This window comes from Homo sapiens, chromosome 11 (genome assembly GCF_000001405.40).
Source record: "Homo sapiens chromosome 11, GRCh38.p14 Primary Assembly".
NCBI classification, from domain to species: domain Eukaryota; kingdom Metazoa; phylum Chordata; class Mammalia; order Primates; family Hominidae; genus Homo; species Homo sapiens.
Window position 1 is genome coordinate 105,038,460 of NC_000011.10, and position 17,906 is coordinate 105,056,365.

Here is a 17,906-nt window from a genome sequence, read left to right on the forward strand (position 1 = left end):
AGGTGGGTTTTTCCCATGTTGTTCTCATGATAGTGAAAAAGTCTCATGAGATCTGATGGCTTCATAAAGGGGAGTTCCCCTGCACATGCCTTTTTGTCTGCTTCCATGGAAGATGTGTCCTTGCTCCTCTTTTGCCTTCCACCATGATTGTGAGGCTTCCCCAGCCATGTGGAACTATGAGCCCATTAAACCTCTTTTTTTCTTTATAAATACCCAGTCTTGGGTATGTCTTTATTAGCAGCATGAGAACAGACTAATACACCTGGTATGTAATATGTAACTGGAATATTCAGACTGTTCAAATGTAGCAAGTGATGAGAATGATAAAAAAAAAATTGGCAAAGTAGGAGACAAAATATTGCAGGACTCATGAACTTTAGACAGAGGAGCCAGGGAAGGCCAGAAAAGGTCTCTGCCTTTGCAATCACATGTTCAATTGCTTATCCCAGAAACAAACTCAATGTGGCTAATTTATTTTATAAATCTATTTGATGAAAGGTGGGCTAATTGCAAAATGCACACGGTATGTTACGTTTATCAAATTCTTTACCAAAAATTCTCCTGATTTGTTACCTTAATATTTTTGGAGATTAAAGACCCAGAGTTAGAAAAACATCCACCTTTTGACATGTGGGCTACCAGTTTTATTTTCTGTGCTCTAGGTGAAGGGTTAAATGTGTTTGGGTTTGACTAGAACTCACTGTGTAGGAGGACATCGTTTTTTTTTTTTATTTTTTATTTTTTGACAGAGTCTCGCACTGTCACCCCACTGGAGTGCAATGGTGCCATCTCCGCCTCCCGGGTTCATGTGATTCTCCTGCCTCAGCCTCCCAAGTAGCTGGAATTACAGGCACCACCACACCTGGCTAATTTTTTGTATTTTTACTAGAGATGGGGTTTCACTATGTTCACCAGACTGGTCTCAAACTCCTGACCTCGTAATCTGGCCACCTTGGCCTCCCAAAGTGCTGGGATTATAGATGTGAGCCACCATGCCCAACCTCTCATGGTGTTTTATCTTTACTTTGCCAATGACTTAATCCGATGGCAGCACAAACTTGTGCTCCTTGCCACTGGGAGGATTTGTAGCATGGAAGAAAGCAGAAATTGCCTGTGTATTACTTATCTTCCCATCATGTACTTTTAAATGATTCAATTTTTTTTCTATTAACTAAAGTATTTCACATGAGGGTTTCGCCCACAGCCAGAGCCATGAACCACTGAGTTGAAGCATGTCAGAGTGACATCCCAGAAACAGAAGCCATGACTAGACCATATATCTGGGAATGTAGAACCATAAGCCTTGAGTCTCATGTCATGGAAAGCTAAACACTGAGCCACTAGATTGCAAGGGCCCACTGTTTCCTCAAAAATGAAGATGTCAAAAACTGGAAACAAATAAATATCCAATTCCAGAGCATAAAATAACAATTTGTGCTATACATGTACACTGAAATGCTATTCAGTCATGAAAGGGAAAAATTACTAATATATGCAATAACATGGATGAAAAAAATATGTTTCAATTATGAGTGAAAGAAGCCATATAGGAAGGAACACATACCCTGTGATTCCAATTATATAAAGTTCTAGATTAGGAAAAACTAACGTACAGTGATAGAAATTCGATGACTACTTATCTGAGGAGGAAGTGGAAGGAGATTGATAACAATGGGCGTGACAAAACTTTCTGGGGTGACAAAATCGGTTTGCCTATTCACTAGGATGTTATTATACTAGAATAGCCATGTATCATTAGTTATCAACTTGTATTCTTAAAAGGAGTACATTTTCTTTGACGTAAATTATACAAAAATAACATTAAAATTTTGAAGCGAAAATGGTCAGTGGTTGTAATAATATATATTTTTTTGTTGATTTCTGGCTGGACACACTCCACAAATTTGTAAAAATTTTGGTAAGAGGAAGTTGTTCTTATAGTGACTGAGTTGTAATTACCAACCACCCAAGTTGGATGGGGAATTGTAGACAGAGTGGATATAATTTATAGGAACCAAATTGTTGACTTAAATGTGTACTTGGAAAATAGAATTACAAAGGTAAAATCATCTCAAAATAAATGAATGTAACAATTCTATTATAAGTAATATTTTAAATGTGCATAATGTTATAAAATCCTGTCAGTGTGAAGTCTGGGAAACAATATAATTTTAAATGACAGAGTAGGTACTGTAAAAATCTCTGACATAGAAGGCAGACAATTCTGTGCTTGGGTTTTGGCCATCCCATTTCCAAGCCTTAGAAGTTCATGGACACTTTCAGTTTATCCAACTCTTCTTAGTTATATTTTTGGACTATCAGCACATTTTGTGTAATACAACTTAGAGCACTAATCAACTATTACATGTTATTTTATTTTTTCTTTGTCTAAAAGCCTCTTTCTTTCTGCCCGGTTTATCAGTGTGGACTTTGGCATCTAATAGCCCTAGGGTCAACTTCTATTTATGAGCTGTAGATCTTAACCAAGTTATTTAACATCTCCCATCCTCCGTGTTCTCATGTATAGGAGGGGCCTCATTATCATTCTTACCTTCTAAGATGCAATGCCTGGTGTAGAGAGCATGCCACTATACCTCTCATTTATAGTAGTCATAAGCTATAGCCCAGAAGCAAGGTAATGTTAAAATGTACTTTTTGGTAAAGTGCTTCTAAATTATTCATATGCTTCATTTCAATATGTTAAATAAACATTAATTTCATTTTATGAATAGGAACAACAGGTAAAAAACTGACTCCAATTCTTGGTAAACACAAGTTGGAGAATTGGGTGAGAAGCAAGAGTCCACTTCAATACTTGCTCAATGGGATGTGCTTTTTTCCAACTGGGCACTACACTGGAAAATCTGGGTTATACAAGCAGACAAAATGGCTTGTTTGTGTCAGTGGGAAATAAATTCTAAGAGACAGACTGGGTGAAGACTATGATAATTTATGAGTTCCAGTTTGCAACTCTTTACCTAAACCTGGGATTCTAGGATATAGAGATCCTTTATGCAAGGGGAGCAGAAGTATGTTCCTCCAGAACCGCTCAATAAAATTGGTTCTAAGAAAAAGCCACTGCATTTCAAAACTGCCTGAAGTATATCTTTCACTCCACTTTATTATTGTATTCTGAACATGGCACCTCTGCAACTTTTGTTTCCATATCCTTTGAGCGTCTTCTAGAAAGCAAAGCTTGATTCTGCCTTCTGGGCTTGAGCATGTGGGCATAGCTGGGTTGTCCTGCACTGCCTGAAGAGCTGCAAGAGACAAGGAATATCATGAACAGTGGTATCCCTCTTTGTTCTTATAGCCTCACCTATGGAGGAAGCTACAAAAGAGGAAATACATTCCTAGAGGACAATCCTAATCTAGTCATTAACATAGTTGAGTGCGTTTGCTGCTAATGGAGCACATTTCAAGCCAGAGATTTCTAGGTATGCATTACAGGGAGGATCTACTTTCATATTTGAGCATAAGTATTTCTACAAGCATCTTAGATAAAAACAGAGAGGAAGCTTTTCAAGGCCATGCATGATAAAACACTCAGGAAACAGTCAATGAGTGATATAAAATAGTTAAAATATGATTTGTTTTCAAAGGATTCAAACCCTAGGATAAAATTTAATGGGAGCAGGTCTTAATTAACACTAATTAATTTTTAAAATATGTGTTTATCCTTTTATTTATTTACCTAATAGACATGGTAGTAAACACTGGGAATATTTTTTTAATGATCCCTTTTCCTGTCCTTCAGCATCTCCTCCTACAATGTATACATATGGGAGGACAAGAATATTGAATACGTAAACTAGAATAAATATAAAATAGAACGATGAATGCTAAAATCATGGTGTGCTCTAGATGGATTCATAGCACTAAACATTGCTTTCACGAACATATGAGGAAATGTTTTCACAGAGTTTATGTGAGAAAATCTTTGAGGCTTTTATTTCATCACAAGATCAACACAATCTGACAATGTGATGCACTTGTTAAAAAATTAATGTGATGTTTGTTTCAAGATAGAACTGAGGTTTCTAGATATCCAGAGGATCTTTTAGAAACTATTAAGGCAAAATAATAATATTTAATTTTGCAAACAAATTTGAAAAACTGCTATACAATCAGATAAACAAAGGCAGCATGAAGTGTGTTGACATGGAGAAGAACTAATTAGAATGATTATATTGGAGAAAACTATAAAATAATAATTTAGTAGAAGAAATGTTTGGTTTCTTTGTAAGGATTTGTGAAAGCAATAGAGAAAAACTAAAGAAAAGCATTTGAGTTATTTTTGAGAATACAGTATTTGGTTATATAGTGAGTATCCCATGCTGTGAAACATTTAAGAAAACATTCATGAGGTAATCATCCTTAATAAATTCAGTAGAGTAATATCTGAACTTGATAAAAACATGCATTTCTAGCCTCTAAATTGCTTTCAAATATAAGTTTCTTTTATTTTAAGGGGGGCACTTAAGGAATAAGAGTTCTTTAATAAAATAATAGAAGTAAGAATGAAGAGACATTTCCAAATTTGAGAGAAGAATGCATAAAACTTGGCCATGGCTTGAATATTGGAGGTGCATGAGAGGAAGGGGGCCAAGATGAGTTTCAAGTTCCTGGATTGAACAACTGGTGATGGTGGCATCAAAAACCAAGTTACACAAAACTGTAAGAGAAGCAGGGTGGGGAAGAATGGCATGTTCAGCTCTGAAATTGTTTACATAAATGTGTCTCTGGAAGATGTGAGGGAATATTTCAGTAGTCTTAAATGATGAAGTTTGGTACTTATTTGGGTAATCAGAATTTGAGATACAAATTCAGATTTTGTTAGTATAAATAAGAGTAGTAAAGCTTTGGGAACAGTTTCTGCAAAAACAGAATAGATTAAAAAAGAAAATTATATGATCAGTCTATGGGAATTCTCCATAGCCCCTTCAAGCAGAGCTCATTCCACTAAATTAATGTTAAAGAAGATGGGGTTCAAAGAATGCTCTTCATTGAAAAACAACATTACCTGGGAAGGAAGAAAATAGTAATTGGGAGTCTTGTGTACTAAGCTAATTTCCAGGTATCGGACCTATAAAAAGATGAAGAACATTGAAATAGCCACTTATCATCTCTGGAAAACTTTACAGCAATGCATAAGCCACTCCTCACTGCAAATTCCTCCCACAACCCTGACTAAATGACAATAAATAATGTTCAAGTGCACCAAAACTCCCATCCTCACCATGCTGTAGGTTCAAGGGATTATAAGAATGGGCAAGCTCATTTCCTGAGCACTGTATCAGGCCCTAGGAGGGCTGCAGATGATGGAAGTCCAGGCCTCCCAGTATGATCTGCAGCTTGGCAACAGACAAGCAGATCTTACTCAAAAGAAAATGCATGGGGGCAACGGGAGGAAAGAGCCCTGTTGAAATCTTTACTATTCTGTAATCATTGAATGTATTTCCTGAACGTATCATCGTCACTTAAATATACTTTATTCTTCTCTGAGGGCAAAAGTTTGAAAAGAATTTATAAAAAGTATTTGAATACAGACCCTAAAGCTCATGTCAAACAACTACATAAGGGCTTAGGGACACCCTGGACACAAAATAATAAATCAATCAATAAATATCGTGCCTTGCCAGGAACACTGGAACATATTGTATGAAGCTTTCTAGATAGTTCTCATGACCTTAAGGAAATTAGCTACCATGTACTCAGAACAGAAAATGAACTTTAATCAGAAGAGGGCACTGAGGATGAAGGAACACAAAAAAGAGTCAAGGGACATGCAATAGGGCCTCTGCTACAGAAATATGGCCCAAAGGCAGAGATAAGAAGATATTCTGCAGATTAACATGACTAGTAAAGAAATCAAATGTTAGGCACGAAGACAGGCCCTAGGTGAACTTGAGTGTGAGTCACTGACCCTTACCTGCTGAGAGTCCCAGCGTCTCTGCCAGGTAACTGTCTTCTTCACAAATGTATGTGATGCAAATTTGGCATGCCTGTGCCCCTTTCGGAATAACGGAGTCAATCAAAGCTCGGGTCTTATCCATAACTGTAGCATTTTCACGTTTTACTTTCTCCATCTCTTCCTGGTTCAGCACCCTTGTCTGTAATAATTCATCCAGTAAGCCATTTATTGTACCTTCACCCATGGAATGGATAAACAGCTTTCTCTTCTCCTTCAGGACCTTGTCTGTTTGGAGCACAAGGATTTCTCACATCATGAAAACAGCCTCATATTCCTCTCACGTCATCAACAGAAAGTGACCTCATTTAGATTTCATCAGTGAAATGTCCCCCTCCTCACAGTTGGGTAATCCCTCTTCTTACTGTATTGCTGTCCTACTTGTTTCCCTCAGTAGTCCCCATATATGTGCATGGAGTGACCTGAAGACTGAGTTTACCATTTCCACATCAGTCCCTGGAAAGCAGAGATCATCCTCTTGTGTCCCATGTTTATTTAACTCTGAATAATAAAGTAATGAAGCAGAAATAGCCCATTTCATTTAGGAACCACTGCTGCTAGTACTCCTCCTGTGCCAATTCTGTACCCTCTGTCAGACTTACGACAGGTAAGCAAGGGTTTAATTAAGATTGCAAAATGACAGCAGGCTACCCCTAAAGTCTCTGTTCCTTTCTGGGCTTGCCTTTTCTTTCTAAAGCCTGCAAAAATCTTCTAGTTCCTTCTCTCCTCCCACTCCTCCCTCTCCCTCACTTCTGCTCACCTAAACTTCCACAGATACTAATTATGGCTTCCAGAAGAGCCAGCCCTTTCCACAACTCTTTCTTCCCAGGGACCTGTTCTTGGAACAGTAAAAGACTCACCGGCCATGGCTTTTCTCTCCTACCCTTCTTGTGTGGGCTGAAACTGAAAGTATGTTTCGCCTTCCTTTTTGGCAGGGCGTGTACACATATTGGGAAACACCCACTGCACATTCATATGCATATCTTTATTTTTCTTCCCAGAGAAAGAATCAGAACTGTAGCCTGCATCAGAGAGTGTATCCAAGGGAATTCTTTTTTCTCCAGCCCTTGGATAGATCAGGGTAGGAGGGGAATGGGGCTTAGAGAATAAGCCCCAGGATTGAGAAAGTATGTGTACAGTTAAATTCACACAGTGAAGAGTTTCCCATTCATTCGAAAACTTGACCGAAAAAATTAACACAACCTTTGGAGAATGTGAACCACTGTTCCCTTGACCCCACCTCACAGCTTTGGGGAAAGTTTGTGGGAAATATATGTCCCTGTGAAGCAATTTTGCTTTAAGAAATGTAAACATTTTTCACCAATATTAAAGCTTTTCTTATTTAATGTTCTTCCTTTCCTGATGGCTTTTTTGTTTTGTTTTGTCTTCTGATACATGATGTCACTCTGTTGCCCAGGTTGGAGTGCAGTGGCATGACCACGGCTCACTGCAGCCTCCACTTCCCTAGGCTGAGATGATTCTCCCACTTCAGTTTCCTGAGTAGTTAAAATTACAGGCAAATCCCATCAGGGCTGGTTAATTTTTGTATTTTTTGTTGAGACGGGCTCTCCCTATGTTTCCTTGGCTGATTTTGAATTCCAGCGCTCAAGCGATCCGCCCATCTTGGCCTCCCAAAGAGCTGGGATTACAGGCATGAGCCATGAGCCACTCACTCATCTTGGATGGCTTTCTTTTGAGGGACATTGCATCACAGAGGCCCAAAGCATAGACTCTGAACTCAGAATGTTGAACCTAGCAAGTTAAACTCACCTTCCTGGGCAAGATATTAAACTTCTTTATACATTGGTTCCTCTGTCTGTAAAATAATATTATTAATAGTACATACACATCTACACAGTTTTGAGCAGTATTGAGATAAAAATGTGAAAAATGAATGGAACATTGCCTGGCAAATGGTAAGCAGATAATGAGGGATATTACTATAATTAATAGAAATATTTCAGTTTAGAAAAATAATCAAGGATGATTATTTGCAGATTTTTTAGCTAAGTTTATCTTTTGTTAGAATCCTCAAGCAGTGCCTCCAGTCATTCATTTAGCAAATATATGTGGACAACATGGTTCTCGGTGTCAGGGGTTCCATCAAAACATATATTATGATCCTTTCCCTCTTGCTCGCACATTCAAGAGGGAAAGATACACATGAAACCTGGTATGTAATATGTAACTGGAATATTTAGAATGTGAAAATATGCCAAGCGATGAGAAGAATAAGAAATTAATTGGAGAAGTGGGAGACAAAGTATTGCAGGACTCATGAAAATTGTACACAGAGGAGCCAGGGAAGGCCAGAAGAGGTCTCTGCCTTTGTCAGTACATGCTGAATTGATTATCCCAGAAATAAACTCAATGTGGCTAATTTATTTCATGAATAAACTTGATGGAAGATGGACTAATAGCAAAATGCACACGGTACATTTCATTTATCATTTTTTTTTTTTTTTACCAAAAATTTTCTTGGGCTGTTACGTTATTACCTTTGGAGGATAATGACCAGATTTACAAAAATATTTACGGTTTGACATGTGGGCTACCAGTTTTACTTCCTGTGCTCCAGGCTAAGAGTTAAATGTCATTGGTTAAGTAGAACGGACTGTGTAGGAGGACAATGACGTGGCTTTTAATCTAAGGTGTTTTTCATGGTGTTTTTATCTTTACTCTGCCAATGACCTAATCCGATTGCAGCAAAATCTTGAGCTCCTTGCCGCTGGAAGGATTTGTAGCATGGAAGAAAGCAGAAATTGTCTGTGCACCACTTCTCTTTAGTTTATTTACTTTTAAATTTATGTACTGACTCATTTATTTTTTCTGCTGCTTAAGGGTTTCACATGAGGGTTTCTCCCCACCAGCCAGAGCCAAGAACCACGGAGTTTATGCATGCCAAAGTGGCATCCAGGACACAGAAACAATGATTAGACCATGTGTCTGGGGATGTAGAATCATGAGCTTTGAGTCATGTCCTGGGAATGTAAACACTGAGCCATTAGAGTGCAAAGGCTCGCTATTTCCTCAAAAAGGAAGATGTCAAAAACTGGAAACAACTCAAATTCCAATTCAGGAGCATAAGTAAACAATTTGTGCTAGACACATACACTGAAATACTATTCAGTCATAAAAGGAAAAAATTACTAATATATGCAATAACATGGATGAAAAACTTATACTTTCATTATGAGTGGAAGAAGCCATATAGGAAGGAGCACATACCCTGTGATTCCAATTATATAAAGTTCTAGATTAGAAAAATCTAATGTGTAGTGGTAGAAATTCAATCACTGCTTATCAGAGGAGGAAATGGAAGGAAATTGAGAACAAAGGGCAAGACAAAATTTTTTGGGGTGACAATATCGGTTTGTCTATTAAATGGGATATTATACTAAATATTCTTGTGTAATTAATAATCAATTTATATTCTTAAAAGGGGTACATTTTCTTTTATGTAAATTATACTAAAATAATGTTAAAATTTGAAATGAAAAAGGTCAATGGTAGTAATAACAGACTAATTTGGAAAAACATTTTTTTTCTTGATTTCAGGACACAATCAAGCCTCCAAAAATTACCCATAATTCTGGTAAGAGGAAGCAGTTCTCATAGTGGCTGAAATGTAATTACCCGCCACCCACATTGGAGGGGGATAGGTAGACAGAGGGGAGATAACCTACAGGAACCAATTTATTGACTGAAATATGTACCTGGAAAATAGCATTACGTAAGTAAAATTATCTTAAAATAAATGAATGTAGCAATTCTACTGTAAGTGATATTTAAAATCTGCATAATGATTTAAAAATCCTTCTATCAGTGTGAAGTCTGTGAAACAATATTATTTTAAATGACAGAGTAGGTACTATAAGAACCTCTGACATAGAAGACAGAAAATTCCTGTGCTTGGGTTTTGACCATCCCATTTCCAAGCTTTAGAACATCATATACCCTTTCAGTTTATCCAACTCCTCTTCTTATTTATATTTGTGGACCATTAGCACATTTTGAGTAATACAATTCAGAACACTAATCAACTATAACATGTTATTTTATGTTTTCTTTGTCTAAAACCTTCCCCTTTTCTGCACAGCTTATCAGTGTGGACTTGGGTATCTAACAGTCCTGAGGTCAACTTCTGTTTATGAGCTATTAGATTTTGGACAAGTTATTTAACATCTCTCAGCCTCTGTGTTCTCGTGTATAGAAGGGGCCTCCTAATCATTCTTACCTTCTAGGATGCAATGCCAGGTGTAGAGATCATGCCATAGTACCTCTCATTTATGGTAGTCATGACCTATAGAGCAGAAGCAAGGTCATGTACAAATGTACTTTTTGGTTAAGTACTTCTAAATTTTTCATATGCTTCACTTCAGTATGTTGAATAAGCATTAATTTCATTTTATGATAGGAAGATCAGGTAAAAAATTGCTTCAAGGCCTTGGTAAGCCCAAGCTGGAGAACTGGGTGAGAAGCCAGCCCACCACCTCACTCATTACTTGCTGTATGTGATGCACTCCTCTTCAACTGGGTACTAACTACACTGGGAAATAGGAAGTAGATAAGCAGATAAAAGGTGCTTTTTTGTGTCAGTGGGAAATAAATTCTGAGTTAAATGCATCTAGACTATGATAATTTATAACAGTCAGCCCCAGTAAACTATTTAAATGATGAGATGGGCAATAGGAAACCATTGCAGCTTCCTAAGTAGGAGAGTCACGTTAACATGCTTCTAAAGTAACTATTTCATATTGAGTGCTTAATAAGGCCCAGGCTCTGTAATAGATACTTCATCTATATTGGTTCCTCTTGTCGAACCGTTTAAAAATATTGGTACTTGGAATAACCCCAGATTATGAAACCAAAATCTCATCCTGACCCTCACCCTTGAGACTTCATGCACTGCCACATCCAGAATTTAATAGGACATGTTCTTTGAGGCATTGCTGGTACCATGTGAACCAGGAGCTGGGTCCTGATTGGACTGAGTGTTGGAGACAGGAGAAGGGGTAAGAATGTCTGGGAGTTGGTGCTGACTACAGAAAGAAGCTGCAGAAGAGTAGGAAGGAGCGAAGATGAAGCAGTAAAGAGCTTGCCTGGACAGGCAAGTGGCCAGGAGGGGTGTGGTCTCCTTGTGTCAGATTTCTACACCAACAGCATAGATAATAACTGACCCATGGAACCTCTACAAGTTAGAGTCTCATCTTGGAACCAGATAGAGCCAAATCCCCAAGGAGGGATAGACATGGTCTTGGATGTGGTGTGTTGCCTAGCAGCAGAAACAGAAGCCATTCTTTTCCTTCAGCCCACTCAGAATATAAACTACACTGACAGATGAAGTATATAAATACACTAGAAAGCAAGCCACTATAAGGATATATCAGCAGAAAGAAGAGACTATAAATTTAAATCTTGAAGGACATTGAGATATTGGACAAATCAAATATCAAATATAGAATGAAATCATTCTATATCAAATATAGAAGGATGTAAATAAAGGGAGCAAAAAGTAATTATTCTATAATAAGCAATAATTTGAGAAACAATAAAAATAGAGCATGTATAAATACAAAAATTAGTTATATTTAATAATGGACAGATTAAAAGGCAGACACACAAATCTGCGAAAATGTATATAATGTGGAAGATACAGAGATGTACAGTTGACCTTTAAACAATGAAATACTTAGAGGCACTGACCCCTATATTCAGTTGAAAATCTGTGGCCGGTTGCGGTGGCTCACGCCTGTAATCCCAGCACTTTGGGAGGCAAAGGCGGGCGCATCAGGAGGTCAGGAGATCGAGACTATCCTGGCTAACACGGTGAAACCCCATCTCTACTAAAAATACAAAAAAATAGCCCGTCATGGTGGCGGGTGCCTGTTGTCCCAGCTACTCAGAAGGCTGAGGCAGGAGAATGGCTTGAACCCAGGAGGTGGAGCTTGCAGTGAGCTGAGTACGCACCACTGCACTCCAGCCTGGGAGACAAAGCGAGACTCGGTCGCAAAAAAAAAAAAAGAAAAGAAAAGAAAATCTGCATATAACTTTTGACTCCTTCCAAACTTAACTTCTAATGGCCTGCTATTGAAGAGAAGCCTTACCAGTAACAAAAACCACTGATTAACAAATATTTTGTATTTTATATGTATTATATACTGTAATATAAAGTAAGCTAAAGTAAAAAAAGTTGTTAAGAAAATCATAAGGAAGAGAAAATATATCTACTATTGACTCAGTGAGAGTGGATTATCATAAGGTCTTCATCCTCATCGTCTTCACATTGAGTAAGCTGAAGAGATGGAGGAAGGGGATGGCTTAGTCTTGCAGTCTCACGGGTGGCAGAAGCAGAAGAAGAGGTGGAACAGGACACAGGAGAAGAAGGCACACTGCATTTATATTTGTGGAAATGCATAGTTATTTCTGTCTGACATTTTTGCTTTTCCATTTCCCTAAAATTTTTTCTAGACAGTATGAATCTTTCTTTCACCATTTCCCTTAGTTTCAGTGCTCATATCATAGAATGGTCTTTGTTGTAAAACAGGTCAAAAGCTGCTTTGAAAAATCAGAATCTTTCTGCCAAATTATAATGCCAATTTGTGCTCTGGCACTACTTCTTCTACATCTTCTTCCTCATCATTTGGAACTGGTTCAGAAGCACACATCTCTATCAAGTTTTCATCTGTTAATTTCTCTAATGTGCAATTAGCTCTTGAATTTTTATAAGATCCATATCTTAAAGTTATTCACTTTTTTTGCAATATCTACAATCTCTCATTATTTTCTTGATTGGCTTTTTCATAAACGCTGGTGAAGTCATGGACAACTTCTGGAAACAGTTTTCTCTAGCAGAAATTTATCGGGGTCTTGTTATGTTGCCTAGGTTGGCCTTAAGCTCCTGGACTCAAGCTATCCTTCCACCTCAGCCTCTTTAGTAGCTGGGATCATAGGCCCATACCACTGCACCCAAAATCATGGCTTTTAATTTTTTAATATCAATGATGTCATTTTCAGTGGTGTAGCCCTTCCAGACTTTCATGATGTCATCTCTATCGATGGTCTCTTCCTTGGCATTCACAAATCTTTTCATAGAGTAACATGTGTAATGAGCATTAAAGTTCTTTCTGACCTCCTGATTCAGAGGCTGAATTAGAGACGTTTCATTTGGTGGCGAGTAGACCACTTTGATTTTTTGCAAATTGAACTAATGAGGTTTTGGGTAGCCAGGGGCATTGTCCAACATCAAAAGAATCATAAATGGGCAGTCCCTTATTGGCAAAATATTTTCTGACTTCAGGGACAAAGCATGAAAGGAATCAATAGAGAAAAAGTGCTCCCATTGCACAGGCATTCTTGTTGTCCAACCAAAACACTGGCAGCTAGTGTTTACCATTTCTGTTCAAGGCTCAGGGCTTAGTAGCTTTATAGATAAGAGCAGTCCTGATGATAAACCTGACTGCATTCCCATGAAACAGTAAAATTAGCTTATCCTTTTCTATTTTAAATCCTTGTGCTTGCTTCTATTTCTTACTAACAAATGGCCTTTTTGGCATCTTTTTTTCTAGACTAGAACATTGTCACCTGTATTCAAAACCTGTTCCAGTAGTATAGTTTCTCTTCAATGATTTTCTTAATAGTTTCTGGGAACCAATCTGCTGCCTCTTGATAACCAAAAGCTGCATCCCCTGATGTCTTGACATTTTTAATGCAAAAGCACTTTAAATTATCAAACCATCCTTGGCTATCATTAAAGTATCCACCTTTAGATCCTTCCCCTTTCTTTTCCTTTAAGTTGTATAAAATAACTTCATTTTTTCTGGAATCATATTAGAGTCTATAAATATACCTTTCATATGAAAATTCTGCCACCACTTACACCCTTCAATTTCAATACAAGATTAAAAATTGTTTCACAATAGTGCAAGGTTTTGGCACTGGCAGGCACAGTGCAGTGATAGCTTTATTATCTCCTTTTATTTTTTTACATTGGTCTTCATTCTGTATTCATTTATCTTGAAATGGTGAGCAGCCACAAATCCAGATCTCAATCTACAGTACATATCAAACAGTTCTACTTTTTCTTGTAATGTCATGACATTGCTTCTTGGGAACATTACACCATCAGTATTGGTATGTTGTCTGGACCCCGTGCTGTTATTCGAGAATTATGGTGTTGCAGTAAATGCAACGAAAAATACATTAAAAACCCAAGGATACTGCTTTTTATAGCAATATGAAATTTACTGGAGATACAAACTGCTGATGTAGAGATAATGAGTGTCACATGGCATTTTAAGCAGATACAAAACTTGAGTTCACTGAAATAGCAGCAGGAAATGGCTATGAAAATATGGGAGTACAGTATCCATGGTTAATTTTGTGCAGTTAGGATTTAATACTGTATCTTTATATTTGTTTACATTTCTCTTTTCAAGTGGTACTATGTTTTATCTATGAGTGCATAAACTTTGATAAACTTTAGCTTTCTATAATAGATTTGTGTATATTTTATAATATAGTAGTAAATGATAAAATAGACTTAACAACTCCATAAATTTTGTGCATTTTTTACATACCTAACTTAATTTTTCAGTATTTCTAGTGTAGATGATTTGTGATTTTCTTCAAATTGTAGCAAATCTCCTAAATTTTTCCAATATGTTTATATGTTTATAAAATGCATGTATAAGCAGACCAAGGCATTTCAGATACTTGTTGTTTATGGGTTAATACTAATTTATCTAGATTGCAAAATCAAAGCAGAAATGAGAGGCTGAAAAATTTGAGAAGGCTTCACAGGTACGAAGGATGGAATGAGAAACTCTGAGATATAGCTGATCAACTTACCAGAAAGACAGACGAGAGAGAATAGAAAAGACAAAATATTTAAAGCAAATTTTTCAGAACTGGGGAAAAATATGTGTCCACTGATTGAAGAAGCACAATGTATCTGTAATAGGATAACTTCAAAGAATAACTGCTTTCTAACAGCCCTCTGAGTTCGGCATTGTGATGAGTTGAATTGTGTACCATAAAAACATATTGAAGGCCTACACCCCAGTTACTCAGAATGTGCTCTTATTAGGAAATAGGGTCCTTGCAAATATAATCAGTTACAATGAGTTTATTTTGGATTAGTGTAGGGCCATCAGCCGGAACAACTCATGTTCATACCAAAGAAAAGGGGCTCTGGAGCAAAGACAGACAGGAAGAGCAACATGTGAAGACACAGACTCACAGAGGGAAGGCAGCAATATAATGACAAAAGCAGAGAATAGAGTGATGTAGCTGCAAACAAGGAACACCAAGATTGATTGAGGCAACCAGTAGTTAGGATGGCGGCCATGGCCCTACTCTACTGACACCCTGATTTCAAACTTCTTGCCTCCAAAACTGAGAGAATGCATTTCCAGTTAAACCTCCCTGTTTGTGGTGATTTGTCATGGCAGCCCTAGGAAATGAATACAGGTATTATTAGTTCCATTTTGCAGATGAGAAAACAGATTCTCAGAGAGATTGATGACTTAGCCAATGGAGTGAGGAGCAACCTCACCTCATGGATCTATAATCTGAAAATGGAACAACAACCACATGTGCTAGAACAGAAGTAAAAACTGGTGACCCACAGAGTCCATCATAAGCCCAGTGATATTTCTTTGGCTCTCTCAGATGTGATTTATCTTGACATTGAATTAATTATCAGAGGTAAAAAATTGTAAGATTTCAAATAAAGTGTTTCATTCCAGGCCTCTGTTGCTTGAATTTCAACATGGAAAGGGTTGCCTGGTACTGAGTCCTTGATGACGCATTCATTATGCCTTCTGATTTTTCCTGCGTTCACCTAACCTGATTAACTTAATGTGTGTTCTCTGCCAAGCCTATATGGTGTTGGTATTTGTGGCCTCTGCCTGGGAGACCTGAGATTAGACTTACAGTCTGTAAATTTTATTAAGATTATTATTAAAAATTATTATTAATCTCACCAATTTACACTGATATAATGATTTGTATGATCATTGACTTCAAGTCTCATTTCTCTATCTGTCAACTACCTGCCTTGGAGAATTGTTGGATTAAATTTAATGTCTGAAGAACAATAATACCTATTGAACAGCACAAATGTAGTAATGTTACCTCTTATCTCAATATGATTCTTCACATATCTGTAATGCTAGAAAAATATATGTTACATACGAGAAAATTTTTTGTAAGGAAAAGCAACAGCATTTTTCCACAAGGATTTCAAAACATTGAGTAAATGTATCTATTTCAAGGGAGACGGGAGGGTAAAAGGATGTAATAACTATATTGATTAAGAAAAGAAAGGAAATTTAAGGGATAAATAATGCAACATAAGTTTCATAAGCAATGTAGTATGTGATGTTTATTTTCACTATGTAACTCAGAAAAATCATTGTCATCACATAACACACCACTTCAACCCTCCTGACTTTAGTGCTGTTGTAGTGGGGACTCCCCCTCATGTGGTTGTTGTCACACATCAAGCCACTGTGCTTCAGGTTCTTTCTGCTTTGAAGATCGAAGATGTTCATCAAAGGACTGAGGACTGTTTAGCTGTGCATATGTGGGTCCAGAATTGTAGGAGAGGGAGGACCTTCTCCTGGGGGCTAATTTCAACCAATGAATGGCATTAGTCCATTGATGAATGTCTCTAATTCCTCATCTTCTAGTAAGGTAGAATCTACATAATTGTAGACAATCCTGAAGAAAGACTGGAACCCAGTTTCTCAGAGCAGTAATGAATTCATTATTGCATTTTTTTGGAATATTATCTTTCTTTCATCTCCCTTCCCCACTCCCTCACTTCTGCTTTTTGGAAATACTTTCCAAATAATACTTACAGTCAAGTGGCTGACTCCTCCTATTTCATGGTCAACCAAATTGCGTCATTATCATCATCAACATCACCACTATCATTGTTGTCATCATTATCTTTATTGAGCAATTTAAGTATGAACAGAACTATAATTAGTTTTCTACATATATCATGTCATGTAGTTCTTACTATATTACAAAATTGCTAGGCTTAACTCTCCTTACTCATAAAACTCTGTAGCTAAGTTAATTACACATATAATCACACATCTAATATCAAGTATGGGGCAGAAGAAGCCCAGGCCTTGAAACAGCTCCTTCATTCCCGTGATGTCGAAGTGAGCCCCATTCCTTGGAGTCAGATAGTCAAACTTTGTATTGCTTATAATGAGAGCCAGGTATTTGCAGATCTTTCTGTTTTTTTTTTTATTAGATTGATCTGCAGGAGATGGAGATGAAGTGACTTTGATTACCTGAGTCTCTTTTCAATCTCCATATGTTTCACAATTTTGTTTTTTTAAAACCTCGTATAGCTGCCCTCTTCCCTAACCTCTATCAAAAGACACTGCTTTCCTCTCTCTCAAGAGCCCAGAGCAAGAACCAGGACATATCTGGATGATTAGTCAAGAATCTTAAAGAAACTAGAATAATTCCTACTCCCTTTCTTCTTATTTTTCTTCTGCATCTACTCAAACATTTCTTATATTCAGGTTCAAATCAAATTTCATAAAAACTGAGAGATGTCATCTGCACCAGTAAAAATGAATATAGCAGAGGTTGTTTGCCTTCCATATTATGATTATATTTGTACTATTTAAAAAATATCAACATACTGTTTTTTAAGCTTTAATTATATTTTTCAAATATGCTTCACATCTAGGCTTTTCAACCAGAGTACAAATAATTATTACTCAGCTATGCTATCATGTAACTATTTTTCTTCTGTGACTATAGCTGAAATTGTAATATATCTCAAATAGATACAAGAATCAATAAATGAAAAAATGATGAATCTACGTTTTATCATGGGTTGAATGAGTATTGGTATCTTTTTGAAGCCATATGAACCCTTCCTTGCTGAAAGCATCTATGATAA

General features: G+C 37.1%; 1 protein-coding gene and 1 long non-coding RNA gene across 3 annotated transcripts in view; one reads left to right on the forward strand and one right to left on the reverse strand.

Annotated features, from left to right (window-relative positions):
- Nucleotides 3,104-6,876, reverse strand: CARD16 (caspase recruitment domain family member 16). Of its 2 annotated transcripts, none has more exons than NM_052889.4 (4): nt 6,832-6,876; nt 5,933-6,199; nt 5,024-5,086; nt 3,104-3,260 (listed from the first exon to the last, which is right to left on the reverse strand). In NM_052889.4, exons 1-3 carry the CDS (start codon nt 6,836-6,838, stop codon nt 5,067-5,069), a joined length of 294 nt encoding a protein of 97 aa, NP_443121.1. In that variant the 5' UTR covers nt 6,839-6,876; the 3' UTR covers nt 3,104-3,260; nt 5,024-5,066. The 2 variants fall into 2 exon arrangements, with proteins under 2 accessions (NP_443121.1, NP_001381509.1); NM_001394580.1 differs by having other exon boundaries at nt 6,732-6,876.
- A 2,664-nt stretch (nt 6,877-9,540) lies between these two features.
- The window catches only part of LOC107984381 (uncharacterized), a 28,155-nt gene continuing 19,789 nt past the window's right edge, over nt 9,541-17,906 (forward strand). Inside the window, exon 1 of the long non-coding RNA XR_001748352.2 lies at nt 9,541-9,704. This is a non-coding gene — a long non-coding RNA (uncharacterized LOC107984381). The remainder of the gene's footprint in view (nt 9,705-17,906) is intronic.

Excerpts from the sequence above, each read along its gene's own strand:
- CARD16 (NM_052889.4), bottom strand. Across the intron at positions 5,087-5,932 it reads GACGCTGGGACTCTCAGCAG|GTCCGATACCTGGAAATTAG; the intron begins GTAAGGGTCAGT and ends ATCTTTTTATAG.